Genomic DNA, 22,888 nt, shown 5'->3' on the forward strand with positions numbered 1-22,888 from the left:
ACAGTGCGAGACTCTGTCTCAAAAAAAAAAAAAGAAAGAAAGTTTATTTTGCTAAGGTCGAGGACATGTGTCTGTGACACAGCCTCAGGAAGTCCTGATGACATGTGCCCAGGGTGGTTGGGGTGTACCTTGGTTTTATACATTTTAGGGAGACATGAGACATCAATCAAGTACATTTAAGAAATATATTGGTTTGGTCCAGAAAGGCAGGACAACTCAAAGTGGGGGGGCTTCCAGGCTATAGGTAAATTTAAACATTTTCTGGTTGACAATTGGTTGAGTTTGTCTAAAGACCTGGGATCAATAGAAAGGAATGTTTGGGTTGATGCAAGAGGTAGTGGAGTCCAAAGTTTTATCATGAAGATGAAGCTTTTACCTAGCAGGCTTCAGAGAGAACAGGCTCTAAAATGTTTCTTATCAGACTTAAAGCCTGTGTTGATGTTAATGTTGGACAGGTATAATGAGGCATGTCCGACCCCCACTTCTCCCTTCATGGCCTGAACCAGTGTTTCAGGGGCCTTAGAATTTTATTTTTGGTTTACAGCAGCGTTTTTTTTTTTTTTTTTTTTTTGAGATGGAGTCTTGCTCTGTCACCAGGCTGCAGTGCAGTGGCGCAATCTTAGTTCACTGCAACCTCTGCCTCCCAGGTTCATGTGATTCTCCTGCCTCAGCCTCCCTAGTAGCTGGGACTACAGGCACGCACCACCACACCTGGCTAATTTTTTGTCTTTTAGTAGAGATGGGGTTTCACCATGTTGGCCAGGATGGCCTCGATTTCCTGACCTTGTGATCCACCCGCTTTGGCCTCCCAAAGTGCTGGGATTACAGGCCTGAGCCACCATGGCTTTCTGATTCTCTAACAGCCATGGGCTACTATGAATATTCTTAATGTTCTTAGGCCATGGATCCTTTCAATTATCTGGTGAATGCCTATGGATTCCCTTTTCAGAATAATGACTTTAAATGCATAAAATAAAATACATAGAATTACAAAAAAAACCCATTATCTCGATGTATACTCATGAAAATATTTTTAGAAACTCACATTTGTGATATGGTAATACAGTTGGCCCTTGAACAACACTGCTTTGAACTGCAGGGGTCCACTTATGTGTGAATTTTCTTCCACCTCTGCCACCCCTGAGACAGCAAGACCAAGCCCTCACCTTCCTCAGCCTACTCAAAGTGAAGATGACAAGGATGAAGACCTCTATGATGATCCACTTCCACTTAATAAATAGTAAATATGTTTTCTCTTCCTTGTGATTTTTTAAATAAGATTTTCTTTTTTCTAGCTTACTTTATCATAAGCACACAGTGTTATATATTTGTATACATACATACATAAAATACACATAGCATACTAAATATGTGTTAATCAATTGTTTATTTTATCAGTAAGGCTTCTGGTCAAAGTGGACTATTAGTAGTTTAGTACTGAGGGAGTCAAAAGCTGTATGAGGTTTCCGACTACATGGGGTTTGTCGACCTCTAACGCCTGCATTGTTCTAGGGTCAGCTGTATATGTGCTTTTCAACTAATGCAATAAATAACATGAGGTTTCAAAGTATTGATGAGCACAAACAATTCTTTGAGCTATCTGCTACATTTGCGATGTGATACGACAATATCTGTGATTCTACTGTTGACAAAGTCCCAGGTCGGTGCTAATACTATAGGTGGTTCTTTGCCTACATTTATTTACTTACTTTTGAGACAGGATCTCACTCTGTTGCCCAGGCTGGAGTGCAGTGGAGCAATCACAGCTCACTGCATCTTTGACCTCTGGGGCTCTAGCAGTCCTCCCACCTCAGCCTCCCGAGTAGCTGGGACTACAGGTACGTGCCACCATGCCCAGCTAATTTTCTGTATTTTTTGTAGAGATGGGCATTCACCATGTTGTACAGGTTGGTTTTGAACTCCTGGGCTCAAGCAATCTGCCCACCTCAGCCTCCCAAAGTGCTGGGATTACAGGCATGAGCCTCTGCACCCTGCCTTATTGCCCACATTTATAATTGAGGGACATGCTAAATTTCAACTAGAGGCCAGTGAAAGTAAAGACATGATATATTTTCTCCCACCTACTTTCATAAACCCACTGAATTCTACCCACAAATCCCTCTGCAGGTGTGTGGGTCCCAGGTGAAGCACTGTGTACTAGTGAGACTTAGAGCTACTTACCTATTCTCTTCATGCTTCTATTTTTTTAAAATAGGGATAACAATAGTATCTCTATCATTGGCTGTTATGAGAGATAAAATAATAGATAAAAAGACAGTAGCTTAATGCTTAACACCTAGTAAACATTTCAGCATTAGCTTTTGTTATGAGAATTATTCTTTCAGATGATTCCTATAACCTCACAAAATTGTGTTTTATTTTTCGCCACTCATAGAAGAAGAAACAGGCTCAAAGAGGTAAAAATTGCACAAAGTAACCCAGGAAGTCAGTGGCAGAGCTGATTGAAACCTGGTTCTCTCTGATTCAACCTTAAGCTCTGGCCTATCGTGTGTGCTGTGTCATTTTTTAAAACTGATAGTATTAAATGTCCTCACTTCTCCCTGGAATGAGGCTAGACCGACTTTGGAGTAGATCACCATGGATGTCCCCATTTCTTCACCCCTCCCAGAGGAGAAAGACAAATGTCCAAGGTTCAGGAAGCTCTTGTCTGGCGCCTGTTTATTTAAGGGCTTAAATAAATAGCCCTTTATTAATTAACTGGAGACAGTTAATACCAATGTCCTCCCTTCAACACAAGCTCTCTCCAGCCCAGTACTTGCAAGATCCCAATTACAAACCTCACTGTCCCAGAAATTGTCAGATTCTAGTTTTTTATTTAAAAAAAATCCATCCTGTTAGGAATATATTCACCACATAAAACCAAAATAAGTCTGATATGGCTTGGCTGCTTCCCCACCCAAATCTTATCTTGAATTGTAGCTCCCGTAATTCCCACGTGTTGTGGGAGGGACCTGGGGGGAGGTAATTGAATCATGGGGGTGGTTTTCCCCATACTGTTTTCATGGAAGTGAATAAGTCTCACAAGATCTGATGGTTTTATAAGAGGAAACCCCTTTTGCTTGGCTCCAATTCTTCTCCATGCTTCCCCATGTAAGATGTGCCTTTCACCTTCTGCCATGATTATGAGGCCTCCCGAGCCACGTGGAACTGTAAGTCCATTAAACCTGTTTTTCTTTATAAATTTCCTAGTCTCAGGTATATCTTTATCAGCAGCGTGAGATCAGACTAAAACAGTCTTTCTCATACATTCAGTCTCAGCCTTGAAAGATAATAATCATCGTAATGCTAATAGCAACAACTTCTTTGATTACCAATTATTGAACATTTTTTGTGTATCAGGCACTGGGTTAGGCACTGTAAAAGCTTCATTCTTCTCTTCTTGCTGGGGCTCTGAGCCTCAGTCAGCATGAGTCTCTAAATGGTTTTGTGAAGCAGTAACTTCCTTTACCACCATTTCCACCACCAACTGGACGTTATGTGAGTTAGGAATAATCTTCTATTATTATCAGTGTGTTAAGCACTGAGATTTCAGGGTTTATCTGTTAGAGTAGCTAGAATTTCCTTAACAAATACAAAAGATAAAGCACTTAGAACTGTATCTGACTATTTAAAAAAAAACAATAAATGTTATCCGTTGCCATCATCATCATTATCATCATTGTAGCACTCTGTTTTCACACTGCTATAAAGAACTACCCTAGACTGGATAATTTGTTATGAAAGATATATAGTAAATATATAGTATTTATATTTTAAATATAATAATATAATAAAAATAATAATTTGTTATTAAGTGACTCACAGTTCCACGTGGCTGGGAGGCCTCAGGAAACTAACAATCATGGCGGAAGGGGAAGGGGAAGCAAGGACCTTCTTCACATGGTGGCAGGAGACAGAGAGTGAGCAAAGAGGAAATGCCACACTTGTAAACCATCAGATCTCTTGAGAACTCACTCACTATCATGAGAACAGCATGGGGGAACTGCCCCCATGATCTAGTCACCTCCCACCAGTTTCCTTCCATGAAGGGATTACAATGAGAGATTAAATTTGGGTGGGGACACAGAGTGAAACCATATCAATCATCTTAATTAAACTTCTACTCTATGCTAGGACCTTTACATACCTGATCTTTAATCCTCTCAGTAACCTTGAAAGGGTTCATAACTCCATTTTAAAGATAAGGGAACTGAGAGGTTAAATGTCTTACTCAAGGTCACAGAGCAAGTGCTGGAGCGAGAATCTAAACCTGGAGTTTTCTGGTTCCACAATTTCTAGCACCCCACTTAACCCTCTCAAAGTTCCTGGTACTATCTGGATCCAGTTACTGTGGTTAAATAAATAAATAAATAAATAAAAATACCTTTGTGGAAGAAAAATGTCTTCACTGTCAGCTTGGCATCTCACTTATTTTCTTGTCAGATTCCAAATCCTAACTCGTGCTGTGTTGTACAGTTCAAAGAAAGCATTTCCCATCAAGAAATGTCATGGTTGCTAGAAATAATTTTGTCACATCCTCTTGAATTTTTCCTTTTTGCAAGTTCAGAGGTTTCAGTTAGATTCACATCTTATGATGCCTCTTTTTAAAACATTATAAAAGGGCAACTCATTTTTAAAAATCTCAACATCCAAATAGAACACTTCATTGTTTTCATCTTAAAAGGTAAAAAATGGGAAGACTCTAAAGAGGCAATTTACAATGTGCGGGTGCCTTATTTTCTGGTAATTTGAAGCTGTTTTTGATGCTGTAATTTGTTTTTGAATTTTGCTGTCCATGTATCAAAGGCAGTTGAGCTGAATGTACTGGAATTCTACAAGTTAGGTGTCTGTTGAATTCCCAGATCCAGGATGCCAAAAGTCAGCACCATGCGGGTCTTAAAGCCTTTCTCTTGGGTCTTATTAGTTGCCATGAGAATTTTCCTCATGGGGGTTTGATTCTTTTTCACGTGGAGTCAACATTAGACTTTTGGACAAAATTTAGAGAACACTGCTGAGTGCTTGGTTCTGCTCAAAAAACCTCATTTTGTAATTCATTCAACAAATACAGAGCATCTACGATGTGCCAGCCATGGTGCCGGGCCTTGAGGGTGCAAGAATCCCTTTACTGTCTCCCTTCTCCTTCCCCCTTCTCCAAAAAATAAAAATTAAGAAGGTAGAAGATGAACAATAGAAAGCAAGCACCATAAAGAAATAAAGAGAGGCACTGCATGCAGAGAGAAACCTTGGTGTCAGATAACCTTGGATTTGAGTCTTCTCTATAACTTCTAGTTATGTGACCTTGGGGAAGCTACTGAGATTTTCAGAGCCTAGTTTTTCTCATCTGTAGAGCAAGCCCAGTCATACCAACCTTGTCGTGTTGTTTGAGCAGTTGAGGTAAGATATGTAAACCACTTACTCATGGTGGATGTTCAACAAACTTGGGCTTTTATTAATCGGAAGCATTTACTTATCGACTCCCACCCATTAGGAACCAGGCTAATGTGGTACCTTGGTTTTTCCATTTTGTTTTTGTTGGGGTCCCCAGAAAGCGATCCTGAGATAGGAATTCATATGCAAGGAAGGAATTTTGGAAGAAACTGGTAAGGGGATGGCAGAAGTTACGTAGAAGAAGGACCAAAACAAGGATCTACTTTTAGGCAACGCCACAGAGAGGGTAGACCTTATGTGCATTACTCTAGAATTGGCATCAACCCCAAGCAAGGGAGCAGGGCTTTCATTCTTATGTGCCTATGAGTCGAGTCATTCACCAAAGAGATGGAAACTTCTAGCTACTCTGGCTCATTGCATGTTGAGGGAAAATTTCTCCAAGAGTCTCAGGTGCTGGTGGTTGGAAACAAATACTACAGAATCTGGAAAAGAGGTGCATGGAAACAAGAAAAAGGATGTGAGGACATCTAGGTGAAGCACCATGTTGGTTATACTTCACTTTTCTGACTTCTCAGAGACATTAGTCCTGGTCCAGCTGGTCCCAGTAAGGAAGATGAGTTTTCCTTGGTTCATAAAAGCAGGACGTTTGGAGAATTTACCTGCCAAAAATATGAAGAATGGCTTTGGGGTCAGCCTCGTTGAAGATAAAATCTCAGCCTAACTTTTTATAGCCCATGTCATTTTGGGCAATCAATTTAGCCTCCTTGACCTAGATTTTCTTACGTTTAAAATAGGAATAATAATGCGCTTTCTGTAGATTTGTTGTAGGTTGAGATGACTTTATATTCCCTGACTTATTTGACAAAGATATGCTGAGCATCTGCTATATGTGAAACAGGGATAAGCATTGGTACACTGAGATGAATCAGGCACAGGTCCTGCCTTCCAAGACCTTGGCATCTAATGGGGGAGGCAGACACATAAATTACAGACTCTGTTTTCTTCCTTATACATTTTTTCTCTCTTTCTCTGTTTCCTTCTCTGTGTCTGTTTTTTACTCAGTTGCATCTTCTCTTCTTTTTCCTCCCCTCTTCCTTCTCCTTCACTTGATCTCCACCTTTCTTTTATTATTATTTTACTTCTTAGAAACAAGGTCTCACTCTGTCACCCAAGCTAGAGTGCAGTGGCATGTGGGCTCACAGCAGCCTCAACCTGTGAGACTCAAGCGATCCCCCAGCCTTAGCCTCCAAGAAACTGGGACTACAGGCACACACCACCCTGCCCAGCTAAATTTTTAAATTTTTTTGTAGAGCCAGGGTTTTGCTATGTTGCCCAGACTGGTCTTGAACTCCTAGGCTCAAGCAATGCTTCCGCCTCGGTCTGCTGAGTAGCTGGGACTGCAGGTGTGTGCCACCACACCTGGCCACATCTCTGCATTTCTATCTTGCATTCTCTGACCCTCACCACTTCCATACCTAGTCTTTATATTAACTGGAGGATATCTAATCTGCTACCCTTTCAAGTCCCTGGCTCCTGCTGCTGTTTTCCAAAGCTTCTTCTGCAAATTGCAAAGCACATAAAGTTCTGGGGAATTCAACTGGACCCAGACCCTCAGGTGTGACAGAAGGAGACTTGGAGATAGGAGAAAACCATCTACAGCTTTACTTAAAGCTTAGGGGTGGAGGAGTGGGGGCAGGAGGTACAATTAGCAGTCCTGAGTGGGCAGTCCTGAGGAGTGGCAAATAGAATTTATGATTAATTGCATTGGGGGGAGAGGGTCAGAGGTGATTTTCCCTGCTATTTGGCACATGGGTAGACTCCTAAGAGCATTAGGATAGGAGCCAGAAATTCTTCATTTTAATTCTAGCTCTGAAACTAGCTGTATTATCTTGGACATTGATTCCCTTATCCATATGATATAGAGGTTGCATTCAGTGATTTTTTTAGGACTCCTCTGACGCTCTTGGTCAGGAACTCTGCCTTCATAAATTTCTTATCACCCCAACCCCATTGTGTCTTACTCTGGGAATGGCACCCACCAGGTGCTTATATATATAACAACAATACACTTATTTTCTGTATTCCAGGATTCTGGGGATGATTAGCTTTGGGTTTGAGAAAGATCTATATTTGGGGCCCTGGAAGCAGACTCTGTTGGCTGGAACCCATTCAGCCATTTTACTGTGAAGTCCATGGCAGCTGCTGCAGATGGTGAGGCAAACCCTAATGGCTTGTATAATGTGGTACTTCTCAGACTTGACCACCATGATTCAGATGCTCTGTGGGCTCAGGAATTTGCATTTTAAGAAACACTTTGGGGATTCTGATGCAAGTAGTTAGTGGACTACTGTTGAGAATCAATTCTAGAAACCTGAGCTTAGTGCTGCTACCAATACTCTATGTGACCCTTACCTAGTAGTGTAAGGTTTTGAACACGTTTCTTCACCTGCACGATAGGGTTCTTCACCCCCACCCCGTCTTCCTGCAGGATTTCTGTGAGGAACAGATAAAACAGCAGATGGAAAAGCTCTGAGAGGCTCCACAAGAATCAAAGATGGCGGCCTTTGTGTGTGGAGATGCAGCATCCCCAAGCTTCCTCCTCTCCATACTCAGAGGAAAAGAGACTGCTGGCAGATAATATTCCAGGGGACACTTCAGCCCCTCACCCCAACTCCTGTATTTGATATTTCTTGATCCCCGCTTCACCTGCTTTTGACTAACTTTTTTTACTCCAGTCATTGCCATGACAACCAGCTATGCAGGTGTACCCAGTTAGCACCTGGCCTAGGTGTGCTTTAAAGCTCTTGCTTTCTGACTCAGTGCCTTGTGTCCTCAGCATGTGCAAACCTGGAAGTGTGAGAGGGTTAACACACCACGGCCCAAACTTTGACTAATGGTTGCGGGGAGAGGGGTATTGGAGATTAGTGGTGCATGTTCCCCTCTCCATCTCTTAGGTAGACAATTCTAAGTGATTTCTTCCAGCTCCTCAGAGGGTCCTAGTGGGTTGGAACCCACTTGCCCATATGGTGGTTACCAGGTCCATAAAGTACCTTGAGGTTGGCTTTTCATCCTTCCTGTTTCATTCTTCCAAGCCCCTCCTCCTTTTCTTTAGGATACTTTCCAAAATAAATACCTGCACACAGTACCTTGCTCAAGTTCTGGTTTAGGGGGCAAACCAGGCTGACACAAAGAGGGCTCTGTTGATGAACCAGCCTGGATCTCCAGTAGTAATTCCAGGTCTAGGATGGTCATCCAACAATTGACTATTTACTTAGTAGCAGAGTGAGGGCAGGTAACAGGAAATGTAACCTGTCCACTTCCTACTTGACCAGCGAGAACTGAGTTCAAATCCCAGCCTTGTGCCCTAGGGCCAGGTACCATGTAGGTAAAGAATTCTGCAACAATGCATAGTACACAGCAAGTTCCCTTAAGACAGATCACAACGTTCTTTCTTCAGTTCCCTCCTTTTCACTCCATGTAAAGTCAAAATCCTTAAATCAAAGTCCTTAAAACAAGCCCAAAAGACCTTCCATGATCTGGCCTCCAAATGCCTCTCTGCCTTCCTGTTGTACTACTCACCCCTTCACTCACTCTGCTCCAGCCCCCACTGGCCTCCTTGCTGTTCCTCAAATGCCCCAAGAATGTGCTCACCTTGAGCGCTTTGTCCATCAACTGGGACAATGTCGTATCCCTCCTCCAGGGGACATTTGGCAATAACTGGACACATTTTTGGTTGTCATAACTTGGGAGATAGGTTGCTACTGGCATGTAGTGCATAGAGGCCAAGGATGCTGCTAAATATCCTACAAGGCACAGGACAGCTCTCCTGCTTCAAAGACAGAAAATTCTCTGTTCCCAAATGTCAGAAGTGCTGAGGGTGAGAAACCCCCAGGACCCTTCTTCATGCTGCAGTCTTCCTCCCCTGGCTCACCCCACATCTGTTGGGTCTTTGATTATATTTCACCTTCTCAGTGAGGCCTGATGCCCTGTTGATACTGAAGCTTGCGCTGCTCATGTCTCCTGGCCTGTCTTAACCTTCTCTATTATTTTCTTATTGCATTCAGCCATTTCTACCATATTATATAATTGATCTACTTATGTTTACTCTTATTGTCTGTCTCTTCTCACTGGGATGGAAGCTCCATGGGGGTAGAAATCTTTGAGTGCTCCCATATGCCCTCCACCTACCACGGTACCTGGAACATAGGCATTCAATAAATATTTGTTGAATGAATTAATGAATGAATGAAAGGAAATACAGTTGACCCTTGAACAACATGGGTTTGAACTGTGTAGGTCCATTTATACTTGCATTTTCTTCTGCCTGTACCACCCCTGAAATAGCAAGACCAACTCCTCTTCTCACTCCTCTTCTTTAGCCTCCTCAAAATGAAGACGATGAGGATGAAGACCTTCATGATGATCCACTTCCACTTAATAAATAGGAAATATATTTTCCCTTCCTCGTGATTTTCTTAATAATAACATTTTATTTTCTCTAGCTTACTTTATTATAAGAATACAGTATGTAATACATATAACATGCAAAATGTGTGTTACTTGACTGTTTTATTATTAGTAGGATTTCTGGTCAATAATAGGCTACTACTAGTTAAATTTTGGAATAGTCGAAAGTTATATGCAGATTTTTGACTGTGTGGGGGTAGGAGTTGTTCAAGAGTCAACTGTATCGTGAGGCTGAGGTTTGAGGTGCATCTCTTCTACTATCATGTCAACGTCATCAGTGCTTATGGGAACACCTGTCCAAAGGTACAAGGGAGATGGCAGTGTGTGTTAGTCTGTTCTCCACTGCTAATAAAGACATACCGAAGGCTGGGTAATTTATATAAGAAGAGGTTTAATGGACTTACAGTTCCACGTGGCTGGGGAGGCCTCACAATCATGGTAGAAGGTAAAAAAGAAGCAAAGTCGAATCTTGCATTGTGGCAGGCAAGAGAGCTTGTGCAGGGGAACTCCCATTTATAAAACCATCAGATCTCGTGAGACTTATTCACTATGGCAAAAACAGTATGGAGGAAACCACCCCATGATTCAATTATCTCCCACAAGATCCCTCCCACAACACATGAGAATTATGGGAGCTAAAATTCAAGATGAGATTTGGGTGGGGACACAGCCAAACCATATCAGAAATATATCCACTTGGGCATTAATTATCCATGGACAGGAGTATTATGAAACGTCCCCATAAGGTCAAAAGGTGACACATTTCATCCAATTTATTTTAACATTCACCAAGATTAGGAAGAGAAAAATAAGACATTACTGAAGGTTACTTTTTTTTTCACTTTTTAAAAATCCTTCCACTTCCTGTTTTCTTCAGGGAGACTGAAAAATGTCTTCTCAAACATTTCTCATTATCAGAACTTAACAAAAATTCTAATTAGGGCTACTGCACACTTCAGTGGTAGTTTTCAAAATGGAGCTCTGGCTTCATCTTTGTCAGGCTGCCAATCTTTTCTATCCTTGCCAAAGATGCCCTCTATAATAATAATACTAATAATTACCATTTATTGAAAGTCTACTATGTGCCAGGCAATTTGCATACATTAGCAGTTGTCTTCACACAAATCATATGAGGTGGGAACTATTAACCCTAATTTTAGATGAAGTGATTTGCCCAAAGCCAAGCAGCTAGAAATTGGCAGAACTGGGATTCAGACTCAAGTCTATCATCTGGTCCAAAACTTTCCATGTCCAGCCTTCACAGATTTAGGGGAGAGAGAAGATAAGACAACAGGACCACTTGTCACTGCTTCCAGCATGACCATCAGTTCCAACCGGAGGGTTTGTTACGAGTTATTATGTCACCAGCCTTGGTTGCTAGGTCTCTCTGGGAACAGAGTTTAGGGAATCCCAGGAGACTCTGAGACACCCAATTAGAAAGGCAATAATAGCAGACTTGAGAATAGACTGATTGCTTATTCATTATTCTTGTTATTTCTGGACTTTTCCATCCATCGTACAGCGGGCTGTCAGCAATTACCATGACGTTCTTTCCAGAAAGGGGCCTCTTGGCCCCACTAATCACCTCCCCCAGAACCAAATAGAGTCTTTCAGGTGGCAAATTCTTCAGAAGCAACATCAAAATGCTCCTGTCTTTGGGGCTTCCCAGTGAATCCTCAGCGGACACCTTGGGGCAAAGTGAAAGCACTGGACTTCAACAAATGAAGAAACAGTCCCTTCCGGGCTTGTTAAGTGCCAGGAGCCTTGTTGAGCAGGTGTTGCCCAGAGGCGACGTGGTCTTGTAATGGATCAGTAGATTAATACCAAGTAGCAGAGGATCAGGCCTGAACCTGAACTTGAGCTGTTTGAGCAGCAGGAAAGTATCTGTTCCCCTCACCTCCCAGGAGGAGCTTCTTTAATTTTTTTTCCTTCTTTCTATATCATCCTCTTTTTCTTCTTTGCTCCTCTATCTAATAACACTGCAGACTTGGATACCTGGCTTTAGCAGGTGGAGGACATCACTGATGCCTGTTACGTCCCCTAACCTCTCACTGCTTTCTCACACTTCCTCTTCTCTCTCTTGCTATGGTTCTACTTTGACTATATCTTTCTCCTTCATGCTCCTTTTCCTCTCTGTTCCTCTTCCTCTCCCTCAATTCTTCCCCTTTCTGTCTCTCTCTCTCCCTCTCTCATTCTCTTTCTGTCTAGGCATCTTTCTTCCTTTTTGTTTCATGCATTTCTCATCCTCTGAGATCTGCCTTTCTCTGAAACACATTCTCTCTGTTTGACCTTATGTCTCTTCTCTCTTGCCCTCTATCTTTGGGACTCTGTGTCTCTTTATGTGTGTGTCTTTCTCTTTCATATACATACAAAGGATTCATTCTATCTTTAGGTCAGTTCACATTAAACCATCACTGCCATCTTTCACTCCTACTTCTGTTGTCTAAAAAAAGTACCATTCAAGTTCAGAAGGCAGAAGTGAAATCCAGATCTGGCTGATTCCAAAGCTTGTGATGTTAGGAGCTGCCTCAATTTCCTTCTTCCTTACCTTCCACATCTAAATCTATTTCCAGTCCCTGCAAATTTCATGCTCTAAATATTTCTTGAACATTAATTCTACCTCCCAATCCTTACTACTAATTTATTCATTCAACATATTATTATATGAGCACCTGCTATATGTGGTAGGTCTAGGGAGAAGTGAAAGAAAAGACTTAAGAAGACATGACTCCAGTCTATGGGGAAGAGAGATGATCACTATCTTTCCTCAAGTTTGCATCATTTCATGCCCAGATTAATAGAACAAATTTTTCTCAGCTCACTCTCCATACTGCAGCCAGAATACTTAAATTTATGCTTAAATCCTTAACATTTCTTCCCTGTAGAATAAAGAGGTGTCATATAACAACCTTCCTCACCTGTCCTGCAACCTCACCAGACTCATATTTTACTATTTTTGACCTTTTTATGTTCTAGGACAGTTAGGCTATTGGAAGTTCCCCCATACATTCACCATGCTGTTTCTACCACCTGGCCTGCCTGTTTCCTCTGCCAGAATAACTTTTCTCCTACATCTGCTTAATCCTAATAATCCTTTAAGACGCAGATCAGATTCTTTCCTGCCTTCCCAGCCTCGATTAGGTGCTTCTTCTCATGGCCTGTAAATATCCATTATTGAAATTACAGCATATTGTATATGTGTATGTATTTATTTATTTATTTTGAGATGGAGTTTCACTGTTGTTGCCCAGGCTGGAGTGCAATGGTGCCACCTCGGCTCACCGCAACCTCTGCCTCCCAGGTTCAAGTGATTCTCCTGCCTCCGCCTCTCAAGTAGCTGGGATTACAGGCACGGGCCACCATGCCCCACTAATTTTGTATTTTTAGTAGAGATGTTGTTTTCCGTGTTGGTCAGGCTGGTCTCGAACTCCCAACCTCAGGTGATCCGCCCACCTCGGCCTACTAAAGTGCTGGGATTACAGGCGTGAGCCACTGCACCTGGCCGTATATTGTTTGATAATCAGGTGCTGAGGTGTCTTTCTCCCTACTAGACTGGGGGCTCTTTAAAGATTAGTTTGTCTCTGAATTCCCATTGCCTAGAACTGAGTGTAAAGTCAGGCAATTGATAACTCACACTTGAATGAGTGAACAAATGAATGAGTGAGGAAATGAATGAATATTTCTTTTACTACACGGTGTTGCCTTTTGAGTATTTATAATAAGGGTTATTGAGGACAAGAATAGTTTATGATTTGAAAGTTCTAGGGACTGAAAACGTTCCTTTGGTGAGGAATGTCTTAGACCCCTTTAAGCAGCTGTTGAAATCAGTGAACCTTCCCCCAGAAACATACACATACACACAATATGTTTGATATACTTGCAGGGAACTTATAGGCTCTCTGATGTTCATCTATGCCAACCTCTGGTGCCCTTGAACCCAGTGTTAAGAACTCCAACTTTAGAAATTATGTCAGGGTACAAACGACCATCCAGAGACTCTCTGCCCATTTACGAAGTTTTGTAGGAGCAGAGATGAGAGTAGAATTTGTGTTTTCTGCCTTTTTTCCCTTACATTCTTTCTCAGCCAAAGAGTTTGGCCATTGGTAAGGAACCATCCCAGGACAAGCTTTTCTTTCTAGCACTGTTGCTACTAAATGAGATACTTCATTAGAACCCTGGAGAGTGACTTGGAGATGCTGCGTAGGGTAATTGAATGCAATTAAGCTGATCAAGTTGTGCCTGGCTTACTTCTTATTCATTACGTGACAAGTTATTTAACCTCTGGGACTCTCCTTTCTGATCACTAAGATTGGTCTAACAATAACAAGCCCATAAGGCATTAAGTAGCTAACATTCAAGGGTGGGGACTGGGACAATATCGGGTATACTGTCTACGCTCATTCATACACCATCATCATCATCACCACCATCATCAGCTCTCTTGGCCTATGTGAGGCTTTACCTTTTCAATAACATCATCTTATTTTGATCACCCCCTTTTGTAAAGTACGGGAATGTTGGCAGATATTTCCTCCAGGTGTCCACTTCTGCCAGTTTAAATACCGTGGTTCTAAGAAATACTCCACATGTCTTTGCAGGTGTTGCCATGGCTATATGAGTGTCCACCAGGGATCATACATTTATGTAAAAGCCCTTAACATGACTTTTAGAGTGTGAAAGCTCCCTCTCTTCTTAATATTTTAGGCTCCCTTCTGTGCTACTTAGAAGCTGATGAAATCTGAAATCTGCTCATTATGTGCTTTTTGGAGGAAAACCCAATTTAAATACTTTATTTTTTTTGGTGACATAAACCTGTGCTTTCCATGTTCTTTGTAAAGAATGCTGAGATTTTGCAAGCATCCTTCGCTAAATAAAAACATCATGACCAGACTTCTCAGTATGCCCTGTGTGGATGGATAGTTTAGCAAGTGGACAATAATTGTGCATTTTCTTAATTTCAAGTGGCTGAAATTTAGCTAGAAAATCTTAGCATCTGTAAGGCCGTGTAATTGTATTCTTGACACCATTTAGCCATCTGCCATCTACTCTCTAATCTTAGTTTCCCTCCCCTACAACTCCATTTGGACACAGTAAAGGTTTGATTACCTTGAATAGTCAGAGTAAAGCAGATTCTGAATAAATAAATTTTCTGGTTCATTAGGGAGTCATACTGGTATAAAAAATTCTTAGACAGATCTATGTTTGGGTATGGTCACAGCCATTTGTTAACTGTGTGTCCTTTAACTTAACTTTTCAGGGTCTTCATTACTCCAGCCAAAAAAATAGTAATGAAAATGGAAACACTTCAAGGTTTCTTTGAAGACTAGAAATAAGTTGGTGAAGGATATGGCATATAACAGGTGAACAGTAAGAGTTGGTTCTCTTCTCTTCTACTTAGTCATTAATTCATTTCACAATATGTTGAATAATTACAAGGCCCCCAGCACATTCCTAGGAAATAGGGATGCAATGGTGTATTAATTACTTTTCATGCTGCTGATAAAGTCATACCCGAAACTGGGAACAAAAAGAGGCTTAGTTTGATTTACAGATTCTGAGGCTGGAGGCGAGGCCTCAGAATCATGGTGGGAGGCAAAAGCCACTTCTTACATGGTGGTAGCAAGAGAAAAAATGAGGAAGAAGCAAAAGCAGAAGCCCCTGATAAACCCATCAGATTTCATGAGACTTATTCACTAGAAAGAGAATAGCATGGGAAAAACTGGCTCCCATGATTCAATTACCTCCCTCTGGGTCCTTCCCACAATACATGGGAATTCTAGGAGATACGATTCAAGTTAAGATTTGGGTGGGGACACAGCCAAACCATATCATTCCACCCCTGGCCCCTCCCAATCTCATGTCTTCACATTTCAAAACCAATCATGCCTTCCCAACAGTTCCCCAACGTCTTAATTCATTTCAGCATTAACCTAAAAGTCCACAGTCCAAAGTCATCTGAGACAAGGCAAGTCCCTTCTGCCTATGAGCCTGTAAAATCGAAAGCAAGCTAGTTACTTCCTAGATACAATGGGGGTACAGGTATTTGGTAAATACAGCCATTCCAAATGGGAGAAATTGGCCAAAACAAAGGGGTTACAGGGCCCATGCAAGTTCGAAATCCAGTGGGGCAGTCAAATTTTAAAGCTCTAAAACGATCTCCTTTGACTCCAGGTCTCACATCCAGTTCATGCTGATGCAAGAGGTAGGTTCCCATGGTCTTGGGCAGCTTTGCCCCTGTGGCTCTGCAGGGTCCTGCCTCCCTCCTGGCTGCTTTCACAGGCTGATGTTGAGTGTCTGTGGCTTTTTGAGGCACATAGTGCAAGGTGTCAGTGGATCTACTATTCTGTACACTGGAAGATGGTGGCCCTTTTCTCACAGCTCCACTAGGCAGCCCCCAAGTAGGGACTCTGTGTGGGGGCTCCAACCTCACATTTTCCTCCTGCACTGCCCTAGCAGAGGTTCTCCATGAGGGCCCTGCCCCTGCAGCAAACTTTTACCTATGCATCCAAGAGTTTCCACACATCTTCTGAAATCTAGGCCAAGGTTCCCAAACCTCAGTTTTTGACTTCTGTGTATCCACATGCTCAGTACCACATAGAAGCTGCCAAGGCTTGAGGCTTCCACCCTCTGAAGCCACGGTCCAAGCCGTATGTTGGCCCCATTCAGCCATGGCTGGAAAGGCTGGGACACAGGGAATCAAGTCCCTAGGCTGCACACAGCATGGGCACCCTGGGCCCAGCCCATGAAACCATTATTTCCTCCCAGGCCTCTGGGCCTGTGATAGAAGAAGCTGCCATGAAGGTCTCTGACATGGCTGGAGACATTTTCCCCATGGTCTTGGGAATTAACATTAGTCTCCATGCTACTTATGCAAATTTCTACAGCCAGCTTGCATTTCTCCCCAGAAAATGGATTTTTCTTTTCTTTCTTTCTTTTTTTTTTTTTTTTTTTTTTTTTTTGAGACAGGGTCTTGCTCTGTCACCCAGGCTGGAGTGCAGTGGCGTGATCTCGGCTCACTGCAAGCTCCACCTCCTGGGTTCATGCCATTCTCCTGCCTCAGCCTGCCGAGTAGCTTAGACTACAGGCACCCACCACCATGCCCAGCTGATTTTTTGTATTTTTAGTAGAGATGGGGTTTCACCGTGTTGGCCAGGATGGTCTTGATCTCCTGACCTTGTGATCTGCCTGCCTTGGCTTCCCAAAGTGCTGGGATTACAGGCATGAGCCACCGCGCCTGGCCGGGTTTTTCTTTTCTATTGCATAGTCAGGCTGCAAATTTTCCAAACTTTTAAGCTCTGCTTCCCTTATAAAGCTGAATGCCTTTAACAGTACCCAAGTCATCTCTTGAATGCTTTGCTGCTTAGAAATTTCTTCCCTGAGATACCCAAAATTATCTTTTTCAAGTTCAAAATTCCACAAGTCTCTAGTGCAGGGGCAAAATGTCACCAGTCTTTGCTAAAACATAACAAATGTCACCTTTACTCCAGTTCCCAAGAAGTTCATCATCTCCATCTGAGACCACCTCAGCCTGGACCTTATTGTCCATATTGATGTCAGTATTCTGGGCAAAGCCATTCAATGAGTCTCTAGGAAGTTCCAAACTCTCCCACATTTTCCTGTCTTCTTCTGAGCCCTCCAAACTGTTCCAACTTCTGCCTGTTACTCCGTTCCAAAGTCGCTTCCACATTTTTGGGTATCTTTTCAGCAGCGCCCCCCTTTACTGGTACCAATTTACTGTATTACTTCATTTTCATGCTGCTGATAAGGACATACCTGAAACTGGGAACAAAAAAAGGTTTAATTGGACTTACAGTCCCACATGGCTGGGGAGGCCTCAGAATCATGGCAGGAGGCGAAAGGCACTTCTTACATGGTGGCAGCAAGAGAAAAAATGAGGAAGAAGCAAAAGCAGAAGCTCCTGATAAACCCATCAGATCTCGTGAAACTTATTCACTATCACAAGAATAGCAAGGGAAGAACTCGCCCCCATGATTCAATTACCTCTGCCTGGGTCCCTCCCACAACACTTGGGAATTCTGGGAGATGCAATTCAAGTTGAGATTTGGGCGGGGACACAAACCGTATCAAATGGTAAACAAGACCATCTTGCCTATGCCCATGAGGACTCTAGATGTGAAATATGACATACTCTGTGATTGGGAATTTAGGGTATTTTAGGAGTCCATGGGAGAAGACTCTAGTCCGTCCAGTCAAGATCTGTAGGTTTATAGATGATAATGATAATGATCCTGATAGCGGTGGTGGTTGTAGTGGTGGTGATGGTGATGATGGATATCATGATTTTGATGCTGTTGATGATGATGTTGACAGCACTCACATTTTGTGCCAGACACTGACATTAAGTGTCTTGAGCAAGGCCACAAAGCTGGTAAGTATCAGGGTCCAATGCAAACTGAGGTTCTTCCTAATTCCACAGCACCCCCACCAGCTCTTTCCAAGCTGATGAAACACCAGAATTTATTCTGAAGTTGACTAGGAATAAAATTTGGGGCATCCAAATCCTTGCAGTGCGATTAAATTCACTTTACCCTTTCTTATAATCCAGACCCACTGTTTACAAAATTTTATAACTTCAGGTAGGAAGAAGCTGGTAGATTAATGGTGGCACTTGTCTACCAAATGCCATGTGCTGAGGGTACATCATCATAAACACTTTCTGTGACCTGAAATGGATATGGGCTGGTGATCATGGTTTCATGAGCCCAAGAGGACTGTGACAAAGAAAACTGAGATAGGAGTTAATGAGACTCAAACCCATCTGTAGCCAGAATTAGATATGAGTATCCTCAGGAGTCGAAACATCTCTTGCCTTAAGTTCTGTGGCTGAGGATATCAGTAGGCAAGATTCTGCTGGCAGGTGTATCCTGCAGGTGTGTCACTGTGCAGCCTTCATATCAATAATATGACAACAGCTTCAAAAGTAATAGATAGATAACATAGACATTAATTAAATCAGTCAGACTCAGAAAATTGAGATAAGACCCAGCAGTTCTCTTTGAGGTTCAGACTGAGAGGAAACCAACATCTCCACTATCCTCAAATGCCCCCAAACAATTTGGCAAAACAACAGGTTGTCAATCCTCCAAAGAAAACAAAATAAAACATACAAAACCAGTCCTGATATGCTCAGTTTCTGAAAAGAATGGGATTGATACCAGCCAGAAACTGATGAGAGGCAGCTGAGCACCTGTGCAGTGCAGCTAGGCTGTCTTAGCTTTCATGCAACATCCTTAACACTCTAAATTCTAGATCCTGGCATCCACAGCTCTCTTATAAGCTTCTAGTCTCATTTCTCAGTTCCCTCCTTCCTCAATTGCACTAGTAGCCTTTTAGCTTTCGCTGCACTCTGTCTATATCAGAAGGCTTATCAGGTTGTATCACACTTGTTGACCTGCTGCTTTGCCCAATAGCCTGGAGGATCTTTTAAGACAGAAACTCTACTTTATTTACTTTTTCAACTTGACCCATAGAAGGATCAATAGAGAACTTCCATATTCTGGCCCGGTGAGTAAGTTCTCAAAAAAATTGTTATTGTGGAAGGAAGGAAGGAAGGAAGGAAGGAAGGAAGGAAGGAAGGGAGGGAGGAAGGAAGGAAGGAAGGAAGGAAGGAAGGAAAGAAGGAAGAGGCAGGGAGGGAGGGAAGGAAGAAAACAGATGTTAGCTACTCCCTTGTGTAATGGAACACTCCAGCATGAAGTATGGTTTTTGGGGTGAGCTACATTCACTGTGCTTACCCAGTTGAGAGATATAAAGCTAATTTTTGCTCATTCAGGTTTAAGTTACAGGGAGAGCATTAACTATCTACTCTCTTCCTTCTAAATCACTCTCCCCAGGGCACCTATGCCTTGCATTCCCACTTCATACATAGACATGAGGGTCTCTTTTTTATTCCCCATCTCAATCTAGACAATAAGAAGCCTCTGTTTACTTGCCTTAAATTTTCTTGCAACGTAACTATTCATTCCTGTGGATTTATAATTTGTCTCATGTCTTAAACCCCATTCCCAGAGCCTTCACTCCACCTCACTCAGACCATCCCAACTACACTACATTTCTCATGGACATTTCTCATCTCTGTTTCCCCTGGGGTGGGAATTCGGCAAGGACTTTTAACTTGATGAGTCCGTGGTCATGGGATTTGTGGATACCTCCCAATAACTCTATTGTCAGTGATATGGTTTGGGTCTGTGTCCCCACCCAAATCTCATGTTCAATTGTAATCCCATGTTGGAGGTGGGGCCTGGTGGGAGGAGACTGGATCACGGGGCGGAGTTCTCATGAATGGTTTAGCACCATTCCCTTGGTGCTGTTCTTGTGATGGTGAGTGAGTACTCACAAGATCTGGTGATTGAAAAGTATATAGCACCTCTCCCCAAATTCCTCTTGCATTGGCCATGTAAGACATCCCTGCTACCTCTTTGCCTTCTGCCATGATTGTAAGCTTCTTGAGACCTCCCCAGAAGCTGAACAGATGACCAACACTATGCTTCCTGTACAGCCTGCAGAATTGTGAGCCAATTAAACTTATTTTCTTATAAATTATCCAGTCTCTGGCATTTCTTTATAGCAACCCAAGAACAGACTAATACAGTCAGGGACATATAATTCCTACATGACTGTGTATAAAATCTTGTGTGGGATTCTGCCAATACCAATTTCCTGGGTTTTATTGTGTAGTATAGTTATGTAAGATGCCACCTTTGGGAGAAGCTGAATGATAGGTACATGAGACCTGTCTGTACTATTTTAGAAACTTCTTGTGATTCTATAAATAATTCAAAATAAAATGTCTTTCAAAATCTTGTGAGGCAACCAGATATGTAAAATAGAAAAAAAAAATCTTCCTTATATACCTGTTTCTTTTTCAAAAAGGAGAGTCAGATCTTTCCTTTATTTATTAAAGTGGAATTTTATCCGCAAGGTTATGTAAACACTGATATGACTACTTAAGCAACTCTGGGCTCATACCTCCTTCCCCAACATAGTATGTCTTGCTTTATGGGTGGCTGTCATCACCTGTGTCTGCTTCTACAACTCAATAGGGGAGTTAGGGAGGGAGACATTGTTTTAAATCTTTTTTTTTTTTTTTTTTTCCTGAGACTGAGTCTTGCTCTTTTGTCCAGGTTGGAGTTCAGTGGCATGATCTTGGCTCTCTGCAACCTCCACCTTCCAGGTTACAGTGTTTTTTGTGCCTCAGCCTCCCAAATAGCTGGGATTACAGGTGGACGCCACCATGCCTAAAATTTTTGTATTTTTAGTAGAGACAGCATTTCACCATGTTGGCCAGTCTGGTCTCGAACTCCTGACCTCAAGTGATTCGCCCCCCTCGGCTTCCCAAAGTGCTAGGATTACAGGCTTGAGCCACCGTGCTGGCCTGTTTTAAATCTTGAGAGTGGAGGAAACCAGGGGCGGAGTTTCTTTTGGTTGTCTGACCTCAGGATGAAGCATCCGGTGTACAGTTAAACATTTTGCGCTTCAAAGGTTAACTTCTTGCTAGTAGTTCTCCTATTCTTCATTATTCTAAACAGAATGTCTCTCTTGCTTCTAGTCTTGAGTTGATTTTTAGATTTTCTTTCTAATATCTTAGGTTTAAGTTAGTAGTGAGCTCTGGTTTAGGAGTAATAATAAAAGTAGAGTGAAAAAACAAAACAGCACTGAGCACAGAACCCTCATCTTGGGGAAAGAATTCACCCCAATATAAGAGAATTAAATCTTTGTCTTCCCAAAGAGAGAAATCAATAAATAATGTCAAGAAAGTAATAATTCCCTCTCCTTTCTCTTCTTCTCCCTTTCCAGTCTCCTCCCTTTCCCCTCGCCTTTCTCCTCCCCTCCCTCGCTCCTCCTTTTCTCGTCTTCTCTTCCCTTCCCCTGTTTTTCCCCTCCTCTTTTCCTCCTCTTCCCTTCCCTCCTCTCCTCTTCCTGTCCCTCTGCTCCCCTCTCCTCCCCATCCCTCCCTTCCACCCCCTTCCCCTCCTCATCCCTCCCTTCTTTTCCCCTCTCCTCCCTTCCCCTCCCCTCCCTTCCTGTTCCCCTCCCCTTCCCTTCCCCTTCCCTTTCTTCCTGTTCCCTTCCCTCCCCTCCTCTTCCCACTCCCTCCCCTCCCTTTCCCTCCACTTCTGTTCCCTTCTTTTCCCTCCCCTCCCTTCCCTTTCTTCCCCTTCCCTTGCCTTCCATTCCCCTTTCCTTTCTTCTTCTTTCCTTCCCTCCCCTCTGCCCTCCTCTTCCATCTCTTTCCCCTCCCCTTTCATCTCCTTCCCCTCCACTTCCATCCCCTTCCCTTCCTTCCCTCCCTTCCTCTCCTCTCCTCTTTCTCTCCTCCCCCCTCCCCTCCTCTTCCCTTCCCTTCTCTTTCTCTCCCTTCCCTTCTCTTTCCTTCCCTTCCTTTCCCTTTCCTTCATTCCCTTCCCCTCCTCTTCCCTTCCCTTCTTTTCCTCTCCCTTCCCTTCCCCGCCCTTCCCTCCACTCCCCTACCTTCACCCCCTCCTCTTCCCTCCCCTCTCCTTCCCTTCCTTTCTCTCCTTTTCTCTCCTCTTCTCTTCTCTCCTCTCCTCTCATTCATTCAACAAATATTCATCGAGTGCAGTGCATACAATCATCAAACCATGTGATATATGCTGAGGATAATGAAACCAATGAGACACTTTTCCTTCTTTCTAAAAGTGGAGAGTTTTGTATGGGAGACAGAAACCATCTCTTACAAGGAAAAGAGGCAAAAGATAACTGGAAAAAAAAAACAAGAATCTCTGGAGCATTTTGTTTTTAAAAGAATAATGTGCCAACATCCCAAGTGTTCTGGGTATCAATTTACACTGAAATCAATTTCCTAAACTCAAATTCATCTTTATCTGTAGGGTTGGACACTGAGAATTTCTGTTATTAAGATATAAGATTAGGAAAGAAAGATTGAATTTTGCTCATCAGACAACAGATATAAAGTGGATGCATATCTTGTTTTTGCATTTTCATGTTCAGTGGGTGATTCTTAAAATATGTTTTTAAATATCAAAGCAAT

The 22,888-nt window shown here is 42.5% G+C and overlaps 1 protein-coding gene and 1 long non-coding RNA gene across 5 annotated transcripts in view; both read left to right on the forward strand.

Moving 5' to 3' along the window:
- SHISA9 (shisa family member 9) overlaps positions 1-22,888 on the forward strand; it is a 661,420-nt gene that overhangs the window by 341,623 nt on the left and 296,909 nt on the right. The gene's annotated exons all lie outside the window — the stretch shown is intronic.
- LOC107984137 (uncharacterized) overlaps positions 3,012-22,888 on the forward strand; it is a 71,517-nt gene continuing 51,640 nt past the window's right edge. The window contains exons 1-2 of the long non-coding RNA XR_001752087.2: positions 3,012-3,170; positions 15,113-15,215. This is a non-coding gene — a long non-coding RNA (uncharacterized LOC107984137). The remainder of the gene's footprint in view (positions 3,171-15,112; positions 15,216-22,888) is intronic.

Source organism: Homo sapiens, chromosome 16 (assembly GCF_000001405.40).
Source record: "Homo sapiens chromosome 16, GRCh38.p14 Primary Assembly".
NCBI lineage: Eukaryota > Metazoa > Chordata > Mammalia > Primates > Hominidae > Homo > Homo sapiens.